The following is a 21,959-nucleotide window of genomic DNA, read 5'->3' as shown; positions in this document are numbered from 1 at the left end:
TGGTTAACATTCCATCAGAAAACAAAAAGGACTAGATACTTTAAAGCTTACCCATTTCTATTTTTATGAATGTATAACATCAGGAATTTTATATTTCCAACCATTATTTATCAGGTTTCTTTTGATGACAAAAAGTAAAAGTCTTTAAAATAAAATCAACTAAGTATTTGTCCTGAAAGACAGCAATAAAGGGAAGGGATTCCAATCTTGGAAGACTGTCTTCCCGGGCTGCCTGCAAAATCAGACCCAAAGAACTCGGTGGGAAACGCAGGAGGTGGCAACTGTGAAGAGGAAAGCAGGCTGAATCCCAGAAGAAAGGATGATGAGAAAAGAGGGCCCTAAGGGCTTGTCAAAGGGGTTCTGCAACAAAAGATTATGTTCAGCAACTCTATTCCAATTCACACTTTCTCTACAGAAAGGGCTCCATTCCATCATTCTGTTGAGATTTCATTTTCTTGACACCTGATAAATGCAGGTAACATTTTGCATTTCCAATTGAGAAAGATCATCTAAAGGTTGTTTCAAAGTAAATGCTGGTTACACAGTGCCTACAGAGCGAACAGGAGGGATATTCTTTGTCTTTTTTCAGACACGTTTTCAAGAACGCATTGCAAGGATTAGCAATAACTATCTCTAAATAAGAGCTTCTTAAGGAAATTATTGTCTTGTTAGACAAAATATACACTCAGTGTACACTCATTGCTCAAATGTTACTTTCCTTCTCTTAAAGTCTATATAGTCTTTGGCCCTTTGCCTACTGGTTGCTACAAGAAAGTTTATATAGCTTCATATTTAATTCACAGGACCTAGATTCCTATTAATCTCAGAGTATCTCTTTTCTGAACTTTCCTGCTTCATCTAATGTTTAAAGTCCATTTGTCATCATCTACTGATTACAACAAATAACTTAATCTTCCAATGTGTTAAGTGATTAAGGCTTAAAACACACACACAGAGGAAAAGTAAATCCATCTAGGTTCAAAATTTAAACGAATGGTAGGCATCAAAATTCAGTTCAATTTAGAAATTATTAATTACTAAGACTAAAGAAGACAGAAGATCTTTAAAAATTAACCTGAAAATAAAACTGGAAAGTTAAGAGACAGATAGATTCTGGACTTTAAAATGGGCTGAAATTTCAGCCCAGCTTCTCTTAAATCTGCTATCAAAAAAATTCTCTAATACCAAGCCCCTGCTTTCCACCCCTCTTAACAAGTTTGTAAGGTTTGCATGCTTTGACTACAGAATTATTTTAATGAGATAAAATCTGGGGACCAGGATTTGGTTTTCAGGCCCAATAGCCTAGTTACATTCATCTCAAACTTCACGTGCAATACACTCCTTGAATATACCAAACTGTCAATAGTTCCCAACATGACGAATTGGAAAGCAAAAAGAGGAAACTCATTTTTTGACATAGTAGGTAAAACTCTTTCCTAGCCAGTAAGAAGCTGTTACACTTCATTTGTTCCTAACATTATAGAAATATCACTACTGAAAATCTAATGTCTTTCCTCGAGACTCTACCACACATTTTCCTCCAATCTATACTGAATAATTTATCCAGTACATATTTTTAAAATCATTCTTTTTATTTTTGCGCACAGCTGCAGTTTTAATCATGCATAATTCTAGAGTTCTGGGGATAGGAAAACAAAAAAAACCAAAAAGAACAAAAACAAAAACAAAACTTGAGGCCAAAACCGCTCAAAGAAGTGGTAAGAATTGTTTCCTACTATCTGTCTCTGAAGGAAAAGAAAGTCAACAGCAGCTTAACATCAACAAACTCACATGCTCAGAAAAAGTTTTGACTATAAAATCTTAGAGTTTCACTATCAAACTAACATGAAATTTAAGTCTGTTTCCTGGGAAACAGATAACTTATTGTGAGCGAAAAACTCCTCTCTCCTTCCCCAGTGATAAAGCTTTCACTTTGTTCTATACAAAGAAAGAATGTGCACTTTGCTATTAAATTCCCCTAGCCCTCTCTACTTCAAATATCTCAATCACGGAACTCCCAAGAAATAGCCACCTAAATGCTCAAAGCACAAAATAAAGCTCAGAAGCATAGAGCAGCTAGGATGAGGAAACAGCTCATTGTCCTTCTCCTTTTATAAATGGGACGATTTAGGAGAGATGGAGATAGAGAATTTTAGTAGTGGATGAGGGAAAAGGGGTAGGAGGAAAGAGAGGGTAGAATGATAGGCTTTACCAGTAATTTACTTATTTTCCTAATAGTTTCAAACAATGGGGTGGGGGGGTATGGTAGAAGAAAGGCTGCATCTTAGTTATATTTTATCTTCAGCTCTTTTATCCTTCCAGCCCCACCCAGTCAAGCTCTTACACCTCTTTCCTAGGCTCTCCGACTCTGAATTTTTTTTATCTTTGTGGGTTTTTGTCCTTTTTTCTGGAGGAAAAAGATAGTATTGATTTGTTTAAAAGTAAAGACGGAAAGCATCATCTTCAGGAGTAACCACTTCTTAATAATAGAACTAAGGACTTCTATTCTTTTTCCAGACTAAAATGCAGGAATGGCACCAGCACACCACCAAGGACTAAAGGAGGGTGAGGGAAGGAGGTAACATCCCCAGGGGTAGTCAGGTCTTTGTTTCCTTGCTCATATCATATTGGCTTTACAAAGTAACTCAATTCCCATCAATAAGCATTCCCGATCAGAACTACTTCTCTAAGATGAGGCTGTATCTAAACACTTCCCCGTAACAGTCACTGATGCGGCTACTCTGCTGTGCTGCTGCTGCATCTCCCTCAACCCAGACGGGAACCAAAATTCAAAGAGTCATTCTACACTGGGCAAACCGCCGGACCTCCTTCATGGAGCCAGTCTCTCTAAATCTGAAATCTACTCCTCTGCCTCAATTCATGGCACGTGCTTTTGTTCTTAAAAACAAAGCCAAGAAAAGCACCCTTGGCTTCTCTTACAACAGAGGGATCGAACTCAAGACTCCTAAGATGTAAAACACCGCTAGGAAGATGTTTACATGTCTTGAAAGGACACAAGGCTCCTTCACCTTGCTGGCTATTTCACAGCAGCTTCATTTCAGATGCGGACCCTCGGGGATCCAGCAGCAGCCACCCCACGGCAAACCCACAGCCCGCGGAGGAGGCAGCCGGGGGAAGCTCGCGGAAGGGAGCAAGGACTTTGCAAACTGATGGACGGGAGGGGAAACTTTCAGGCGTGGGCAGGCAAAGGTGGGCCCGAAGCTGACCCGAGCCGGGGCCGGGAGCCTGGCGGCGCGCGCTTCGGGCGGCCGGGAGCCCCCGGAGCATTGTCTTCCGCCTACGGCCCCCGGCACCCCGCGCTGCCGCCGGCTCCGGCCGGGCCCCTCTCTCCGCCGCGCAGGGTCTGAGCCGGGGTAGAGGCGAGCGAACCGCGGTCCACACTCGCACAGGTTGCCGAGCCGCGGGCTCAGGGCGGACAGGGTTAACAGTCTCCCGGGGCAGCTCCCCCCTTAGCCCTCAGCCCTCAGCCCCCAGCCTCAAACTAGGCGTCCCCGAGGCCCCCAGCCGCCACCGCGGGCCCGGGCCCCCGCTCCGCAGCCCGCCACAGTCCGGCGCCCAAGGCTTTTGTTGTGGCCGCGACGAGAGGAACGATCCCTGAGGAGGAGGCGCCGGGCTGCTGCTGGCTCCTCGGCGCGGGCTGAGGCGGAGCAGCAGGCAGCCGCGCGGCGCCTCCTCGGGCTCCACACTCGCCGCTCCTTCTCCCGCTGCCCCGGCCCAGGGGCCCACACGCTTCGCGGGGCTCACCTCAGACCCCGGCGCCTGGCTCCAAGGGGTGGGGGGGCTGCACCGCCTGCCGCGGGCGGCCGCGCGTCCCTCAGGTACCCGGAGCGGCCGAGGAACGCCGGCGCGCGCCTCCCAGCGACAGCGAGCTTTCGCGAGCACCGGGGCGCGCGGCCCGGAGAGCGAGCTCACGAGCGCGCGCGCACGCACGGGGCAGGCGCACTGAGTACGCTCGGCCGAAAGCTCCCTGCCGGATCCTGGGCTTGCGGGCCTGGCCCGGCGCGCCTCGTTGTTCTCTGCCTCTCGCCCTGAGTGACGCCTGGAGCTCCCTTGCTCCGGCGTGCTCGTTCCCAGCCCTGGAGGCGCTCATCTGAGATGCACTCGGGGCCCTCCTCGCAATGCACTCCGTCCCCTGATGACACAGCGCGGAGGTGTGATTGCAGGACCACCTACACCTGGTCTGAGAACCAGAGGTGCCGACCTCCGGACCTGGGGATTTGGGGTGCTCAAGAGGCAGATCCCCGGATGCTGAGGGTGGAATGGGGTGCAGGAGCTCTGGCCTGCTGCAGAGCTCCACGCGAAACAGCGTAGCGGACAGAATAGGCTACTCGCCCGGGATAGTTCATAGCCTCTTGGCCAAGACCTTAGGAAACAGGTGGCGCTGGTCGTTACTGGTGCGCGCCCCAATTTTTGCTCCTTAGGAAATGTTTCTCCTCTCCTTTTCTACATAAGCTGCTTTAGAGCTGAAAGAATTCTTAAAGATAATCTAAACCGAACCTCTCATTTTTCAGACGAGGAAAAGAACGCCCCCAAAGGTTAGATGATTTACCTAAAGCCATGCAGCGTTTTAACAACAGGGCCTGGACTCGTCCCAACCTAGGGCTGTCTTTCTTTTCACTGCACCGTTTAACCTGTCTTTTCTTTCTCTTCTTTTTCGTTCCTCGTCAACCTGGATTTCATGGGCATCATTTTGTTCTGTCGGTAGCACATAGAACTTAAAGAAATTGAACGATGTGAATGGACTATTAGAATTGTACACTTAAAAATGTTTACAGTGGTGCATTTATGTTATGTGTGTTTTACAATTTTTTTTAGAAAGGCGCTTGATACGTGTTAAGTAAATGTTGACGAATGTTGAACTTAGACCTAGAGTTTCACATCAGAAGGTGAACTGTGTGAACAGGCCTGATAAATGAGATCTGAAATGACAGTTACAGTTTCTCTAATAAGTAAATACTTGTGCAGTAAACAATGTTTAAAATAATATTGATTCTTAGGTTGATTCTAGGCAGGGCAGTGTATCCTCTGGAGCCAGCGGTGCCTCTGTGGAGAGTGAGTGAGGGGGCAGATAGCGTGGGGGAAATCTGTGTGTGTCAGATCCCTTGTAGCTGGGGAACCTCTGGAGATGTGCTGCGAGGTGCATTTTTATTCAATTTACACACCATCCTGTAAAGACTGTCAGGAATGAGACACATCATAATAGCTCAACATCGGGAGGTGGGAATGACGTAGAAATGATCGCCACTGTATCAGCATGACTAAATTGCAGAAAAAGAACATTGAGTGAAAAAAAAAAAACAAACCACAAGATATGTAAGTGATGATGCCTCTTTAGAAAAAAAAGACTAGCAATACTATACAATGTTTATGAGGGCAAACGTACATATAATAAAAGCATGAAAATGGACAGAAACGCTGCACACCAATTTTGTGACAATGACTGCCTCTAGGCAGGCAGGGAGGGGGATGAAACCTGGGAATGAGACAAAAGAAGCTTCTACTGTATCTGTGAAATACATACAAATGTACTATTTAAAAAAAATCTTCGTGGAGAATCAAGGGTGTTTCTTATGAAAGTGTCCAAATCTTTCTTTATGTTTGAAATATCCCTCTTAAAAGTAATTAATATTTGGGGCTGAGTGAGGTGGTTCAGACCTGTAATCCCAGCATTTTGGAAAGCCGAGGAGAGAGGATCACTTGAGCCAGGAGTTGGAGACCAGTCTGGGGGACATAGCAAGATCCTGTCTCTACAAAAATAAAAACTAAAAAATTAGCCTGGGAGGATTGCTTGAGCCCAGGAGTTCAAAGCTGTAGTGAGCCACTACACTGCAGCCTGGGCAACAAAGCCATCCCTGTCTCTTAAAAAAAAAAAAAAAGTAATGTTGCAGTGTCAGACATGGAGCTCTATGTGCTCACTGTGAACACAGACAGTGTGGATGGTGTGACTCAGGTTCTTTTGGGAGGACAGTAGTCTGATGATGAGGTGCAGGACAAGAGGAGGCCCAGAAGATGTTGGTTGAGAGGCAAGAAGAAAGAGACCTTCTTTTCAGGGATGAAAATATTCAAATCCAACAGGGCTAAAGGAGATGCTCTCTGTGATCCCATCTCTCTTTCATTCCATGTTGTAACCACCAATACGAAGTCTTTAATGAGCGGGAACTTCATAGAGAGACACAGCACTCCCAACATTGTTAAAACTGGTCTCTTTCTGGATGAACCCGTTTTGAAACCATAAAAGCTAACTGGTAATGCATGGTAATTTAGTATTGCATCTAAGTACCTCCTCCAGGCCACCCCCTCACCGCCTCTGCCCCCAAGGCTTTGTTTATTCATTTAGGTACAACCCGGTCATGTGGAAAAAATCCCTAGGCTGGAATTCAAACAACCTAGGTTCTAATTTCAGCTTGCCCACTTACTGATCCATTTTAACCCAAGGAAAGCAACAACTTCTATGAGCTTCATTTTTTTCTTTTTAAACTAGAGATATACAAATGCTGCCTATTTAAAAACTATAAAACAGGTCGGGCACGGTGGCTCACGCCTGTAATCCCAGCACTCCAGGATGCCGAGGCGGGCAGATCACCTGAGGTCAGGAGTTCGAAACCAGCCTGGCCAACATGGTGAAACCCCGTCTCTACTAAAAATACAAAAAAATTAGCCGGGCATGGTGACGCATGCTTGTAATCCCCGCTACTCAGGAGGCTGAGGCAGGAGAATCGCTTGAACCCGAGAGGCGGAGGTTGCAGTAACCTGAGATCGCACCAATGCACTCCAGCCTGGGCAATAAGAGCAAAACTCCGTTCCCCCCAAAAATAAAAATAAAACCTGTAAAACACAACAGAAACACAGGGTTTGTACATTTAAGTGGAAGGGGAGTGCATTCTTATTTATTTTGAGAAAAAAAGATAGTAAGGAAAGTCTCTTTTTGCTGTTGTTTTGCTTTTTGTTGTTGTTGACTGCTGCCTATAAGACCTGCTTTACATTGACCAAAGGACCTCTGTTCCGGAATTTTGAACTTTTTGGTATCCTCCAGCACTTGTTCATAACTCTATAACAGCTGTTACCCGTGTGAGCCTTCCATTAAATATTTGTATATTGCACCTTCCAGTCTTCCTCTTTAGATTTCTTTTTTATCTTTGTATTCTCATTTTGCTTCGTATTACAAGACAGGCGCTCAATAAATTTAATGAATTGGACGGGATTCTAAGAGTTCCTAAATTTAGTTATTCTTATTAGGGCATGCCATCTGCTGGTTCCCTGGTGTATCTGTCAGTCAGCCTGAATTCTATAATCCAATAAATTGAAATTTGCATTGAAGCATTTGTGTGTCTCTGTGTTGGGCAATTCCTCCTGGCCCCATCCTTCCACTTCCTGTTGCAGGTGCTATTCTTTCATTGAACCAGTCTCGAATTCTTTTTCCTCCAACCCTCTGTTTACCTGTTGGCCACTCTTAAAACCTGGCACAGTGGAGCCTGCATTTCGCAGCTCCGGAGTGACCAGGACAATGTGACTGGGCGTGCTCCGTAGGTAGGGCTGATTTGGGACACACTACGTCTTGAATGAAGGTTTTCAACGCTACTTGTTTCAGGATTCGACGCGTCTTCATTCTAGGGTTATATTGAGACATTGCAGTCCCTCCCACGCTCTTGGCCGCCACACTTGTTAATTTTATCCCCGTGCCCAATTTTGTAGCCAGCCCTCCTGGATCTCGCGGCCAATCAGGAGCCCACACATTGTTGCCTAAGAGACCCCGGATGCCAGCGACGGGATTTATAGACGGTGATTGGGCTGCTGGAAGCTGGGAGGGGTGAGGGACTGGAGGGAGTCGGAGAAAAAGCTGACCTAATGAAACTGTGGCAACGTCAGCGCTTGAGGCTTGAAGAGGGAGACAAGCTAAAAGAGGTGAGAGCTGTGGGCAGTGCATGAAAAAGATGGAGACTCTCTCTTTGGAAAGCTCCAGGGCCTCCCATGAGCTTTATCAGTGCTCTTGGGGATTTCATTGTGCCCTCTCATTTGGGCTACAGTGCAACCGCCAGATATTCATACTTGTGAAATTAACAACCCACAGATAATTATATGCCTACCAAGCATTAGCTTTTTGCGTTGTGTTATAGTTCTTGCTTTTTAAAAACTAGTTAAGCGGAAGATGAATTCGTATTGAAATCTACCCATACGCTATTTCTTGATAATTTCCTGATAATAATTTGAGATTCCCTTGTCTGATGATATTACAATGTATGGGTAAATTCTGTTAGCAGAGAGACCCAGTCCTATTATGCTCAGTAAACTCTGCATATAACCCCAGAGCCCAGTATCATGTTATGAGTTTCACTCTACATTTCTACAATTCTACAAGGGTTTTTTTTTTTTTGTTGGTTTTTGTTTTTTGAGACAGGGTCTTGCCGTGTTGCCCAGGCTGAACTGCAGTGGTGCAATCATCGCTCACTGCAGCCTTGAACTCCTGGGCTCAAGGAATCCTTCCATCTCAGCCTCCTGAGTAGCTGGGACTATAGGAGCCCACCGCCACACCCACACCTGGCAATTTTTTTTTTTTTTTTTTTTGTAGAGATAGGGTTTTGCTGTGTTGCCCAGGCTGGTCTGGAATTCCTGGGCTTCAACTCCTGGGCTCAAGAGATCCTCCTGCCTCAGCCTCCCAAAATGCGGGGATTATAGGCGTGAGCCACCACACTTGGTCAACATTTCTACAAATTGTGGTGGTGGTGGTGTTGGTGTTTTTTTGTTTTTCAAGATGGAGTCGCACTCTGTCCCCCAGGCTGGAGTGCAGTGGCATGATCTTGGCTCACTGCAACCTCTGCCTCCCAGGCTCAAGCAGTCCTCCCACCTCAGCCTCCCAAGTAGCTGGGACTATAGGCACACACCACCACGCTCTGCTAATTTTTTGCTTTTGTTTTGTTTTTGGTAGAGACGAGGTTTCACTGTGTTGCCCAGGCTGGTCTTGAACTCCTGAGCTCAGGTGATTCACCCACCTCAGCCTCCCAAACATTTCTACAAGTTTTAATCCTTAAACTGCTCCCCACTTGCACTGCTGTAGTCATTTTTTCTATTGATTTAACAAATATTGAGTATACTACTGTGATGATTCAGGTGAGCAGTGAGCATCAGAAAACCACATAAGCCAAGAATCATCAGAGTTGTGTGGCACGTTCTCAGAGTGGCCATGAGTTCAGTGTGTCTGGGCAGAGAGCGCATGAAGGTGGGGCCAGGTGAGACTGAAAGAGTAGATGGAGGTAAAATCATGGCAGACCTAGACTTCCACGCGAGGAAGTCTGGATCCTGTAGCTGTCAGTGAACCTCTGAAGGTTTTGAGCTGAAAAGTGACATGATCAACTGGTCTTTTAAAAAATACCTAACAGGAGACTGTGAGCTCCATTAAAGCAGACTCTTATCGTTGTACCCCTAACACCTGCCTTGTAGATACTTAGTAAGGTGGTTAAATAATGATGACAGTGTGAAGAATGGCTTAAGGCAGGAGGTAGTGGCTCGCCTTTGTAATCTCAGCACTTTGGGAGGCTGAGGTGGTGGATTGCTTGAGCCCAGAAGTTTGAGACCAGCTTGGGCAACAAAGCAAGACCTTATCTCTACAAAAAATACAAAAAAAAAAAAATTAGCCAGGTGTGGTGGTGCACACCTATATTCTCTGCTACTTGGGAGGCTGACATGGAGAATTGCTTGAGCCCAGGAGGTTGAGGCTATGGTGAGCTGTGATCACACCACTGCCCTCCAGCCTGAGTGACAGAGCAAGACCTTGTCAAAAAAAAAAAAAAAAAAAAAAAGGCTTAGAAGATCAAATTGGAAGTATGTGGCCAGGGGACCCATCCTTGCTATTGAAAATGAGACTAGAACCATATGTCAAGAACTAGGGTCGTAGGCCCTCTTTCTGTATTTTAATTCTAAGAAAAATTAAAGATGAATATTTGGCTGGGCGCAGTGGCTCATGCCTGTAATCCCAGCACTTTGGGAGGCCGAAGTGGGTGGATCACGAGGTCAGGAGTTTGAGACCAGCCTGACCAACATAGTGAAACCCCATCTCTACTAAAAATACAAAAATTAGCTGGGTGTGGTGGCAGGCGCCTATAATCCCAGCTACTTGGGAGGCTGAGGCAGGAGGATTGCTTGAACCTGGGAGGCGGAGGTTGTGGTGAGCCGAGTTTGTGCCACTGCACTCCAGCCTGGGCGACAGAGCAAGATTTTGCTCCACCTCTAAAAAAAAAAAAAGAAAAAAAGATGAATATTCAAAGGTAGTCCTTACAGGGAAGGAGATCACAAAAAAGCAACAGCAAGACATCTGTGGAAGGAGGGATGACAACTTGCTTTATTTTGTTGATTAAGTGGGGACAATTATGTTTTGTATGTGTTATATGAAAATCTCTGTAGCTGGGCGCAGCAGCTCACACCTGTAATCCCAGCACTTTGGGAAGCCAAGGTAGGCAGATCACTTGAGGTCAGGAGTTCAAGACAAGCCTGACCAACATGGGGAAAACCGCATCTCTACTAAAAATACAAAAATTACCCAGGCATGGTGGTGCATGCCTGTAATCCCAGCTACTCGGGAGCCTGAGGTAGCAGAATCTCTTGAACCTGGGAAGCGTAGGTGCAGTAAGCCGAGATCACGCCACTGCACTCCAGCCTGGGCAAAAGAGTGAGACTTCATCTCAAAAAAAAAAAAAAAAAAAATCTGTCTTCTTAATAGTAGCAAATGGTCTGTTCTGTGAACATGTATGTGCATGCAAATATACACGCTGCCTGTCTTCTGGAATGGAGGAAGGAGGAAAATACTGTAAAAGGATAATAGCAAGAGACGAGGCAGGACGTCCACATTGGCACACTTCAGCAGGCCTATATGGCCAAGAGGGCTGCTTCCTGGGGCCAGGCCCATCTGCTGAAAACCCATCTTCAAGCAGGTTGAAAGAAAGTCTAATCTAAGTGACATGTAGTTCTGAGGAACCAGGAAAAAGAAAACAACCAGTGCAGGCGCTTGGGGGAGTTACCAAGGAAAGCTACTTCTCCTCATTCAGAAGGATGTGCCTAGGATCAGTCACATGGTTTCCTACACAAACTGGAAAGGAGAGAGTTGTTCAGCATAGAGCAGGGGTAAGCAAAATTTTGCGTGTATGTGCATTTTTCTAGGGGGAGAATTCATAGCTTTCATCATATTCTTCAAGAGCCATGTAGCTCTTAAGAAAGGATTCAGAACAACGAATTTAATTTTTATGTTTTTATTATTTTTTAAAAACGGTCTTGCTCTGTTGCCCAGGCTGGAGTACAGTGGTGCAATCACAGCTTACCGCAGCCTCAACCTCCTGGGCCCAAACGATTCTCCCACCTCAGCCCTCTGCCCCCACCCCAAGTAGCTGGGACCACAGGCGTGCACCACTAAGCCCAGCTAATTTTTTGGTTTTTTTACTTTGTGTAGAGATAAGGTCTCTCGATGTTGCCCAGTCTGGTCTCAGATTCCTGGGCTCAAGCAGTCTTTCTGCTTCAGCCTCCCAAGTGCTGGGATTACAGGCAACAAAACAACTAGTTTTAAAAGAAGAAATGTAGCCCAGGCGCGGCGGTGGCTTACGCCTGTAATCCCAGCACTTTGGGAGGCTTAGGCTGGTGGATCACCTGAGGTCAGGAGTTTGAGACCAGCCTGACCAACATGGTGAAACCCTGTCTCTACTAAAACTATAAAATTAGCTGGGCCTGGTGGCTCATACCTGTAATCTCAGCTACTAGGGAGGCTAAAGCAGGAGAATCACTTGAACCCAGGAGGCGGAGGTTGCAGTGAGCCAAGATCGCACCATTGCACTCCAGCCTGGGCAACAACAACAAAACTCTTCCAAAAAAAAAAAAGAAGAAGAAGAAGAAATGTAGAAAATAAATAAATAACAACAACAAAAACAGATATATCACTTTTTAGCTGGGGAGATCTAGACTCAGTGGCTACACTTTGTATCTGTAACTTTTTTTTTTTTTTTTGAGACAGAGTCTTACTCTGTCACCCAGGCTGGAGTGCAGTGGCGCGACCTCAGCTCACTGCAACCTCCACCTCCTGGGTTTAAGCGATTCTCCTGCCTCAGCCTCCTGAGTAGCTGGTATTATAGGTGGGCCACCATGCCCAGATAATTTTTGTATTTTTAGTAGAGATGGAGTTTTACCATGTTGGTCAGGCTGGCCTCGAACTCCTGACTTCAGGTGATCCGCCTGCCTCAGCCTCCCAAAGTGCTGCTATTACAGGTGTGAGGCACCATGCCGGCCTGTATCTATAACTTGCCTGCTCACATGTACTTTTATCATTAGCTGCCAGTTAAAATTACTGTAATGAAATCATTTCTTTTGGCTTAGTAACTTACCTAAATGTGAGTCCGATAGTTAGCTGTTGAGGCTGAAAAGAACCTGAGTGCTGATCTGAGTGCCCCTCATTCCAGTGGCATATTGGCAACAGGCAACTGAAGGAAGGCATTGTCTTGACACCCCAGAGGGTTTAAAACGTGGGCTTTATCTTCCTGAGAGAGAATATTACATGTCAAATGAGAACCTCAAAGATCTCAGATAGTGTTTGGGAAAATCCCATACTAGCCAAAATATAATGATTAAAAAAAAATTATCAAAGGTCGGGCACAGTGGCTTGTGCCTGTAATCCCAGCACTTTGGGAGGCTGAGGTGTGCAGATCACCTGAGATCAGGAGTTCGAGACCAGCCTAGCCAACATGGTGAAACCCCATCTCTACTAAAAATACAAAAATTAGCCAGTCGTGGTGGCAGGTGCCTGTAGTCCTAGCTACTCGGGAGGCTAAGCCAGGAGAAGCGCTTGAACCTGGGAGGTGCAGGTTGCAGTGAGCCATGTCTGCACCACTGTACGGCAGCCTGGGAAACAGGGCAAGACTCCTTCTCAAAAAATAAAAAATATCCAGTATCTGTTGCTGTGGGGTCATTTGTGGAGCCCATTGATCAGGCGAGCAGGCCCTGGTCCCCTTAGCCATCTCTTCTACCTGTCCTTGTGAAACCCACCATCACAGAGTGGAAAATGCAGAAGCCTGCAACCCTGAGTGTATATATCAAAACTACTCCCAATCAGCTACTAGGGGAGCTGAGGCAGGAGGATCGCTTGAACCTGGGAAGCGGAGGTTGTGGTGAGCCGAGATCGTGTCACTGCACTCGAGCCTGGGTGATAGAGCAAGACTCCATCTTGGCCGGGCGCGGTGGCTCACGCCTGTAATCCCAGCACTTTGGGAGGCCCAGGGGGGGTGGATCATGAGGTCAGGAGATCGAGACCATCCTGGCTAACACGGTGAAACCCCGTCTCTACTAAAAATACAAAAAATATTAGCTGGGCGTGATGGCGGGCGCCTGTAGTCCCAGCTACCCGGGAGGCTGAGGCAGGAGAATGGTGTGAACCCGGAAGGCGGAGCTTGCAGTGAGCCGAGATCGTACTACTGCCCTCCAGCCTGGGCGACAGAGCGAGACTCTGTCTCAAAATAAATCAATCAGTTAATAAAATAAAATAAGATTAAGAGTAAGCTATTGTCAGCCCAACTGGCCTAGCCTGGTCTCATGACCATCTCTTGGCTGGGGAAGGACAGGCTACCTTAATTAATTAAACCATCAGGCTCTAAACAATGAGGGAGAATTAATTCCTCCTGAAAATTAAAGTGCTTTAATCAAAAGGAGGCAGACATATACTGGATAACTAAAAATAGCAAGTTTCCCCCAATAAACTCAAATCTGTTCATTTCCAAAGCCTTGGCTTTGTCTCTCCCACCATGCTACCTCTTCAATACGCTGTCAGGCAGGAGTTCCTGTTACTTGGATATCTGGAAATTAAGAGGGGAGAAGGAGAATTAATATAACAAGGGACAAGAATGAAGTGTTTCATATTGCATGATGATTTTAAATTTAAAATACTTCTCTTCCTGGCCAATATAGTATGTCCTTAGCTAGGAGTGATTCTGGATTTCCCCCCAGAGTCCAGTGAAAATAAAGTGGCATCAAACTGACCTGGGTCTGACTACCAGTTACACCACTTGCTATCTGTATGACCTTGGACAGGGTAACATCAATAAGCCAAATCTTCCTCGTGTGTAAAATGAGTTAAAACCCACCACCTCACCAGGTAATTGTGCACTTCCATTGAGGAGATGTATGAAGTGCTTGACATATAACATGCCCCCAATAAATGCTCTTCCCACCGCATTCCCTCTGCCAACATGCTAAAAAATTATATGGTATTAGTATTGTTTTTTTTGAGGTGGAGTCTCGCTCTGCTGCCCAGGCTGGAGTACAGTGGTGCCATCTTGGCTCACTGCAACCTCCACCTCTGGAGTTCAAGTGACTCTCCTGCCTAGTAGCTGTGATTACAGGCATGCACCACCACGCCCGGCTATTTTTTATTTGTTTGTTTGTTTGTTTGTTTATTACATTTATTTTTAGTAGAGACAGGGTTTCACCATGTTGGCCAGGCTGGTCTCGAATCCTTGACCTCAAGTGATCCGCCCACCTCAGCCTCCCAAAGTGCTGGAATTACAGGCGTGAGCCATCGTGCCTGGCTGGTATTAGTAATTTTTGTTTTCTGAGGGTTATATGATTCACTTCTTCTGATAGGTGTTGTTTTTCTTATGGAAGGATATCCAGTTGTTTCATGATGGCATTTGCACCTCCAAAAAACACAGATGGTCCCAAAATGCAGACAAAGATGAGCACCTGGACACCCCTAAACCATCAGCTATTGAATGACCGGGTAAGTGACCAGAACTATTTTAACAATTGAATCCATGACTGAAAGGAAAAAAGATATTAAAATTTTACTTACCAAAATATGAACAGGGATTATTTAAGATTGTGTAATGGATGAATAAAAACCAAAATGAAGATATTCCAAAACTTTTATTGAACCCATGCTATATGGGCAAGGCTGGCAATAGACCCAAAGTCCTTGCCCAAGAAAAAAATGTCTTGGATTTGTTCTTTCCCCCACTGTCACCTTCCTCTCCCACCCCACTCGCCATTTTTCTTCCATCACTTGTTCTCCCCTGGAACCACCAGGACTGAGAAAGGAGAGAGTGGTCCATGGCATTCCCCCAAACCCAGTTTTCTTGGTATAGTTGAGGTTGCTGGGTAATGCTGCACATTTAATAAGATACATAAAATGCATACATTTCAACTGATTATTCACATTACTCAGGTTCTCTTAAGACGTTTATTTTCATGGCTGGGTGCGGTGGCTCATGCTTATAATCCCAGCACTTTGGGAGGCCAAGGCAGGTGGATCATCTGAGGTCAGGGGTTCGAGACCAGCCTGGTTAACATGGTGAAACCCCGTTTCTACTAAAAATACAAAAAAAAAAAAATTAGCTGGGCGTGGTGGTGTGTACCTGTAATCCCAGCTACTCGGGAGGCTGAGGCGGGAGAATCGCTTGAACCCAGGAGGCGGAGGTTGCAGTGAGCCAAGATCACACCATTGCACTCCCGCTTGGGCAACAAGAGGAAACTCTGTCTCAACAACAACAACAATAAGAACAACAACAACAAAGACGTTTATTTTCCACCTGCACTCTGGGAAGGTGCTAGCGGAATACACTAAAGGATCACGGTGGACGGCTGGGGTGTGAGACTGACCAGCCTCTAGGGGTTTCTATTCCTGCTTCAGTTAGGGACAGAATTTACCAACAGGTCTGTGAGCTCCAGTGACCAATCGCTGTATGCAAGGACCACACCTATTTTTCAGGAAAACACAATCACCATATATAAAACTGACCTCATCCTCTTGCTCCTACACACCAGTTCCTCCCCGCTATGAGAGGCACTATTTTATACCAAGTCAATCAAGCCAGAAATTCTGCTTCTCCCTGTCCAGTCTGGGATTTGATTTTCCCCCAGATTACAAGCTAATAAGTTAGCCTGTGACTTATGGAATAGAAGACTCTGCTGTTTCACAATAAAAGATGAGATTCTTGGGTCAAAAACAACTTTACTCACAAAGCAGCGAGTGGCATGAACGTTATGTTTGCGTGGGTTCTGCTGGTCCTCCCCGTCCCACAGGTGTGACACATAGGGCCCAGGTAAATGATACACGTAACAGTGGTTTGCACCCAGCTGAGGAACAGTGAGCCCAGGGCATCCACTTCTTTTCATAGTAAGCAGTAAGTCAGCCTGCTGTTGCTCCCAAAGGGAGACATTACCTCATCCCTCAAGGTTGCCTTACTGCAGACACAACCTGCAAGAATGGCCCAAGTCACGAATGCTCAGGGCCTTGCATTCTTTTTTTTTTTTTTTTCCTGAAACAGAGTCTCACTGTGTCACCAGACTGGAGTGCAGTGGTGCGATCTCGGCTCACTACAACCTCCACCTCCCGGGTTCAAGCGATTCTGTTGCCTCAGCCTCCTGAGTAGCTGGGACTACAGGCGCACACTACCACACCCAGCTGATTTTTGTATTTTTAGTGGAGACAGGGTTTCACGATGTTGGCCAGGATGGTCTCGACCTCTTGACCTCATGATCCACCCGCCTCAGCCTTCCAAAGTGCTGGGATTACAGGCGTGAGCCACCGCACTCGCCACGAATGCTCAGGCCCTTGCATTCTTGGCATGCCAAGATGTTTCGGAGTGTGAGAGGCACACAGAGAAGTGTCTACCAACGCTCCCTTGCCTCCATATGTAATTTGCTTTCCAGTACTCTGAGTCCTCCTCCCAATCTCTCATTCAGGCCTCTCTTCTCCACCCGCTTATCTACTTCCAGCTCCATTCTCAGCTGACACTGTCTGCACCCTTTGTCTAGTACACTGCAGTCACCCCCTAACTGCTTTCACTGGCTCTGTCCCTGCCACTCCATCCTCTATTCTTGTCCCAGAGAGATCTTTCTAAGATTCCGATTCTATTATGTGAAACCAATAATAGACTCCACTCCCAAGAGTAAATTCCAACACCCCCAGGCATAGCGTTGAGGATCTTTCATGATCTGACCTCAGCCAACTTCCCGGCTCCACCCCTGCCACTGCTCCCTCACATCTGATGCCCAGGCCCGGCTCGGGGCCCCCGAGTGAACCCTGCTCTCCCACACCTCCATGCCTTTGCATGTGCTCTCGCCCTCGCCTCCTATCTGAGTCCATTCAAATGTCCTTTCCTCTGTGAAGCCTCCCCGTGTCCTGCTTCCTTTTCTTTGCTCTCATCACTGTTTACTGGCTTTCCCAGTCAACTCCCATGCATGAAGAGTTGAGATTCCGTCTTTTCTCTCTGTACCTCCAGGAACCTGGTTTGGTTCCTGAAGCATAAGAAATGGAGTCAGGGCTAGGCACAGTGGCTCACACTTGTAATCCCAGCACTTTGGGAGGCCAAGGCGAGTGGATCACCTGAGGTCAGGAATTCAAGACCAGCCTGGCCAACATGGTAAAACCCCATCTCTACTAAAAAATATAAAAATTAGCTGGGCATGGTGATGCACCCCTGTAGTCCCAGCTTCTCGGGAGGCTGAGGCAGAAGAATCACTTGAACCCAGGAGGTGGAGGTTGCAGTGAGTCAAGATTGCACCACTACACTCAGTGCCTGGGCAACAGAGTGAGACTCTGTCTCAGGAAAAGAAAAAAAAAAGAAAGAAAGAAAAAGAAAAAAGAAATTGAATCAGAGTTCAGGTCTACTCCCTGGTACCTGTTTCATTGACTCTTGTCTTCCTGCCTCTTCATCTTTGTGTCCTTAGCCTGGATTTGCCCCTCTGCCCCTCTAAACTCAATAGATGGGCTCATCCCTTGGCAAAGCCGTCATCAAACCTGAACCCTCCTGCTCAGTACCTTCTATTTCTAGTCAAATCAGTTTCTACTGATGAGCAATTTTAGAAGAGGAACAGAAGGGCCAAGGTAGAGATTGGAATAGTGAGAAATAAAATGGAGAGAGACTGAAAAAGGAAAATGATAAAGGAAATGAGGAAAGAGGAAAGAGAATGAGAAAAAAAATAGACGGACCAGGAGAAACAAAAGGAAAGGCAGAGAAAGAGGGAGAGAGACAGATTCAGCCTTCATCTAGCCAGGAACACCAAGCAAATCTATTGAAAAACTTTTGGGGGCCAGGCACAGTGGCTCAGGTCTGTAATCCCAGCACTTTGGGAGGGTGAGGCCGGTGGATCGCTTGAGGCCAAGAGTTTAAGACCAGCCTGGGCAACATAGTGCGACCTCATCTTTATTTAAAAAAAAAAAAAAGTAAAATAAAATATTAGCCTGGCGTGATGGTGCATGCCTATGGTCCCAGCTACTTGGGAGGCTGAGGCAGGAGGATCGCTTGAGCCCAGGAGTTGGAGGTTGGGGTAAGCCACGATTGTACCACTGCACTCCAGCCTGAGTGACAGAGAGAGAGAGACCCTGTCTCTAAAAAAAGAAAGAAAGAAAATAGTTTTTATCCAGCTCAACAGTAATTTACTGAGCACCTGTTTGCAATGCTCGAAGCTCTCCCACAGTTTATATAACAGTTTATCTGCTTCCCCTACCAAAACTTCAGGGTCTCATTTTGAATTCTGTCTTCCCATAGAATTGTGAAGGTTTTACACACATTGAAAAAGTGACTTGAATTCAAATATGCGTTAATTAGATTCCTTGATTTTCAGAAATTTTCTTCGAAAAATTACGAGTCTTGATCAATTTAGCAGCTGTGGAGAAGAAAAGTGTCTTAGGAGGCAAAAAATTGCCTGAATGCCTCTTGCAATTCGATTTTTAGAGAAGCTGATTCGGAGATTAGCATGTAGAGCATTGACTGGAGAGGACTTTCAGGATCAGCACCTGGGAAGGGAAGGAAATAAAAGGAAAAGGAGAGAAAAGGGTCAGATGCAGGGCAAAGGAAGAAGTTGGGCTGGAATGCAGTCTCAGTGAGGTCTCCACTGACCCCATAGGACTTCCTGAAGCTGCCATGATGCTTCAGATTGGTTGTAAAGAAACACCTGAGGCTGGGTAATTTATAAAGAAAAGAGGTTTAATTGGCTCACAGTTCTGCAGGCTGTGCAGGAAACATAATGGCATCTGCTTCTGGGGCGGCCTCAAGGAGCTTTCCATCGTGGCAGAGGGCAAAGCAGGAGGAGGCATCTTACATGGCAGGAGCAGGAGGAAGAGTGAGACAGGAGGTCCCACACACTTTTAAACAAGCAGATCTCATGAGAACTCACTCCCGCTGATGACAGCACTAGGAGGATGGTGCTAAACCATGACAAACCGCCCCCATGATCCAATCACCTCCCACCAGGCCCCACCTCCAACATAGGGGATTACAATTTTTTTTTTTTTTTTTTTTTGGAGACAGAATTCATTGTGTTGCCCAGGCTGGAGTGCAATGGCGTGATCTCGGCTCACTGCAACCTCTGCCTCCCAGTTCAAGCGATTCTCCTGCCTCAGCCTCCTGAGTAGCTGGGATTGCAGGCACCCACCACCACACCTGGCTAATTTTCATATTTTTAGTAGAAATGGAGTTTCACCATGGTGGCCAGGCTGGTCTTGAACTCCTGACCTCAGTGATCCACTGGCCTTGGCCTCCCAAAGTGCTGGATTATAGGCATGAGTCACTGTGCCCAGCCGGGGATTACAATTTGATATGAGATTTGGTGGGGACAGAGATCCAAACCCCAACATTTGTCTTACATTGTGGCAAGGGGTAAGGGAGGGAGAGGGTCTGGTTTTTATACTTCCACACTGACCGAACATTCAGTGGCTGCTAGCTGCCTACCCACCCCCGCCAGGTCTGACCTTGGGCAAGGCGGCTCTCTCAAGCTTGTACCTGTCAACCAGCAGCCTTCCAACAGGTGGGGAAATAAATCCTTCAGTTCTGGAGGGGAACGAGTACATCACAGTACTCATTGGTTCTTTAATAGATTTTTATCCAATGTAATGATCACTTCTCAAGATAATATGTATTTTATTGTCCCGAACTCCCATTTTATTCCAAAAATAATAATAATAATTTTTTGGTTTAGTTAGGTTCTTGTGTGGCATAAAATTATTTTTAAAAATCTTTGTGTGTATATATACACGTAAGTTGTGTACAAATGCAGAGTCACACACATAGAATTTGTGTATGATTATGCCAAGCTGGTGTTTGTTTGTTTGTTTTTGAGGATCTCACTCTGTCACCCAGGCTGGAGTACAGTGGCACAATCACGGCTCACTGCAGCCTCCACCTCCTGGGCTCAAGCTATCTTCCTGTCTCATTCCCCCAAGTAGCTAGGACCACCAGGCTCACACCACCATGCCCGGCTAATTTGTTTTTGTTTTTATTAGAGAAAAGGCCTGGTCTCAAACTCCTGAGTGCAAGTGAGCCTCTGTCTCAGCCTCCCAAAGCTCTGGGATTACAGGTGTCAACCACCATGCCCAGCTATATCAAACTGTTAATACTGGTTTTTCCCAAAGAGTTATATGGGTGTTGGTGGACAGAGGAGGGTGTGTTAGAAGAGAGAGCTTTCATTTTCTTACTTCATACAATGCAGCAATGTTTCCAATTTTAAAACAAATTAGAACATAAATATGTATCGTATATTATACATACACACACACCCATACATATAAGTAAACAAAGAACAATAACTCTGGAGTTGAAAACTCTGGTTTCAAATCAGCTGTACCAGTTTTACCTTCTCTGGGCTTTATCCTCCTTTGTAAAATGAGTGGATTGGATCAGATGACCTTGAAGGTCCCTTCTGGATCTAACATTCTAACTGTGTGAAAGGAATTAAAAATAGATGCCCGAGGAGACAGCTGGCCAAAAGGTATCCAGACAATAATTTCAAGGGGCTTCCATACTTCTAAATGAGGGCATTTGTCACCAATGATCAGTGAAATTTTAAGGCCCTGTTTTTTGTTTTTGTTTTAATTTTGTCTTTCTTCTATTCTGTAGTAAAATGTGAAATATGTAACTATCTTAGACTAAAATAAGAGTCACAGGATTTTAACTTCACAGCAGGTTTTAAGCAGAAGATTGAATTCTCTAAATTCAAATTTAGACGCCTAAAAAAAAAAACTGCGTCATCAGGATAGGCATATATAACAGATTAGTAAGTTATTCAAGCATTGTGAATTTTGGGTGAAGGAATGTTTTTAAAGTGTGTATTTCTTTGCCAACTAGTGTTTTAATTGAAAGTGATCTTTATCACACATACATAGAAAGGTAACTATGGAAGATGACGGATAGGATAATTTCCTTGACATTTCATTATGTATGTGTATATCAAAACATCAAGTTGTATACCTTAAATATACACAGTTTTTTAAAAGAAAGGAAAGTGATCCACATTTCTTTTACGGTATGGTTCACACATGTTGTACAGTACATGTTAAAAAAGTGTTCTGAGAAAAAGCACCCAGTTACCATCAATCAATCATTATTTAGGGGCCCCTAAATATCTCACTCCTACATTGTAATGATGTCACACGGTAAAATATGTAACTACAGTGTCAACAGATTAAAATAACAACCGTGGGATTTTGACTTAACAGCAGGCTTTGAGTAAACTGTGATATAAACAGACTGCAGCATCTTGCAAGAAAAGAAGATCCATTTTAATATTTCCATTTGGAAGAAATACTTTGTTTTCCAGCTCTTTAAAATGAAGAACCTGATTGCAAATCTCTGAAATAAAGACTTGCTCCAAACCAGGGTGTATAAGACTATAAGTCCAACTGAGAACCTGACAACAAAATTATCTGCCCAAAATGATATGTCTTGTCAAGGGTAGAGTCAGAACCAGATCTGAGGTCTCCTGACTTTCAGTCTAGTGTCTTTCCTCTACCCCTTCTGTCCCATCAGTTTCTACTTGAGTCTAGATGCCTTCTGGTAAAGAGCTGGACTTGTGTGGACTCTGTTTAGACTTTGTCTCGTGTTTTAACCTGCGTAGCACTTCCCAACATCCACCCTATTCCTTTTCTACTACCTTCTTGTTGACTGTCTTTTCCCCTTTAAGTCAGTTTCCTTTTGTTT

At 45.3% G+C, this 21,959-nt stretch overlaps 2 protein-coding genes across 32 annotated transcripts in view, besides 2 other annotated features; one reads left to right on the top strand and one right to left on the bottom strand.

The window, feature by feature from the left end:
• FZD3 (frizzled class receptor 3) overlaps positions 1 to 3,897 on the bottom strand; it is an 80,047-nt gene extending 76,150 nt beyond the window's left edge. For all 30 annotated transcript variants that reach the window (NR_182067.1, NR_182069.1, NR_182070.1 and 27 more), the window contains exon 1: positions 3,766 to 3,897. The gene's annotated coding sequence lies outside the window, so the exon portion shown is untranslated. The remainder of the gene's footprint in view (positions 1 to 3,765) is intronic.
• Positions 3,230 to 3,949: a silencer, noted in NCBI's record as "silent region_19060". NCBI's record gives its function as "represses an Ori minimal core promoter by ATAC-STARR-seq in GM12878 lymphoblastoid cells {active_cell/tissue: GM12878}" and the evidence as "EXISTENCE:reporter gene assay evidence [ECO:0000049][PMID:35858748]".
• Positions 7,880 to 21,959, top strand: part of FBXO16 (F-box protein 16) — a 61,818-nt gene continuing 47,738 nt past the window's right edge. For both annotated transcript variants that reach the window (NM_001258211.2, NM_172366.4), the window contains exons 1-2: positions 7,880 to 7,923; positions 14,647 to 14,761. In NM_001258211.2, coding sequence (NP_001245140.1) covers positions 14,663 to 14,761 — 99 coding nt within the window. In that variant the 5' untranslated portion in view covers positions 7,880 to 7,923; positions 14,647 to 14,662. The remainder of the gene's footprint in view (positions 7,924 to 14,646; positions 14,762 to 21,959) is intronic.
• Positions 7,995 to 8,114: an enhancer, noted in NCBI's record as "active region_27174". NCBI's record gives its function as "activates an Ori minimal core promoter by ATAC-STARR-seq in GM12878 lymphoblastoid cells {active_cell/tissue: GM12878}" and the evidence as "EXISTENCE:reporter gene assay evidence [ECO:0000049][PMID:35858748]".

This window comes from Homo sapiens, chromosome 8 (genome assembly GCF_000001405.40).
Source record: "Homo sapiens chromosome 8, GRCh38.p14 Primary Assembly".
Classification (NCBI taxonomy): Eukaryota; Metazoa; Chordata; class Mammalia; order Primates; family Hominidae; genus Homo; species Homo sapiens.
Note: the sequence above shows the minus strand (reverse complement) of the source record. Positions and strands in the feature narration are given on the sequence as shown.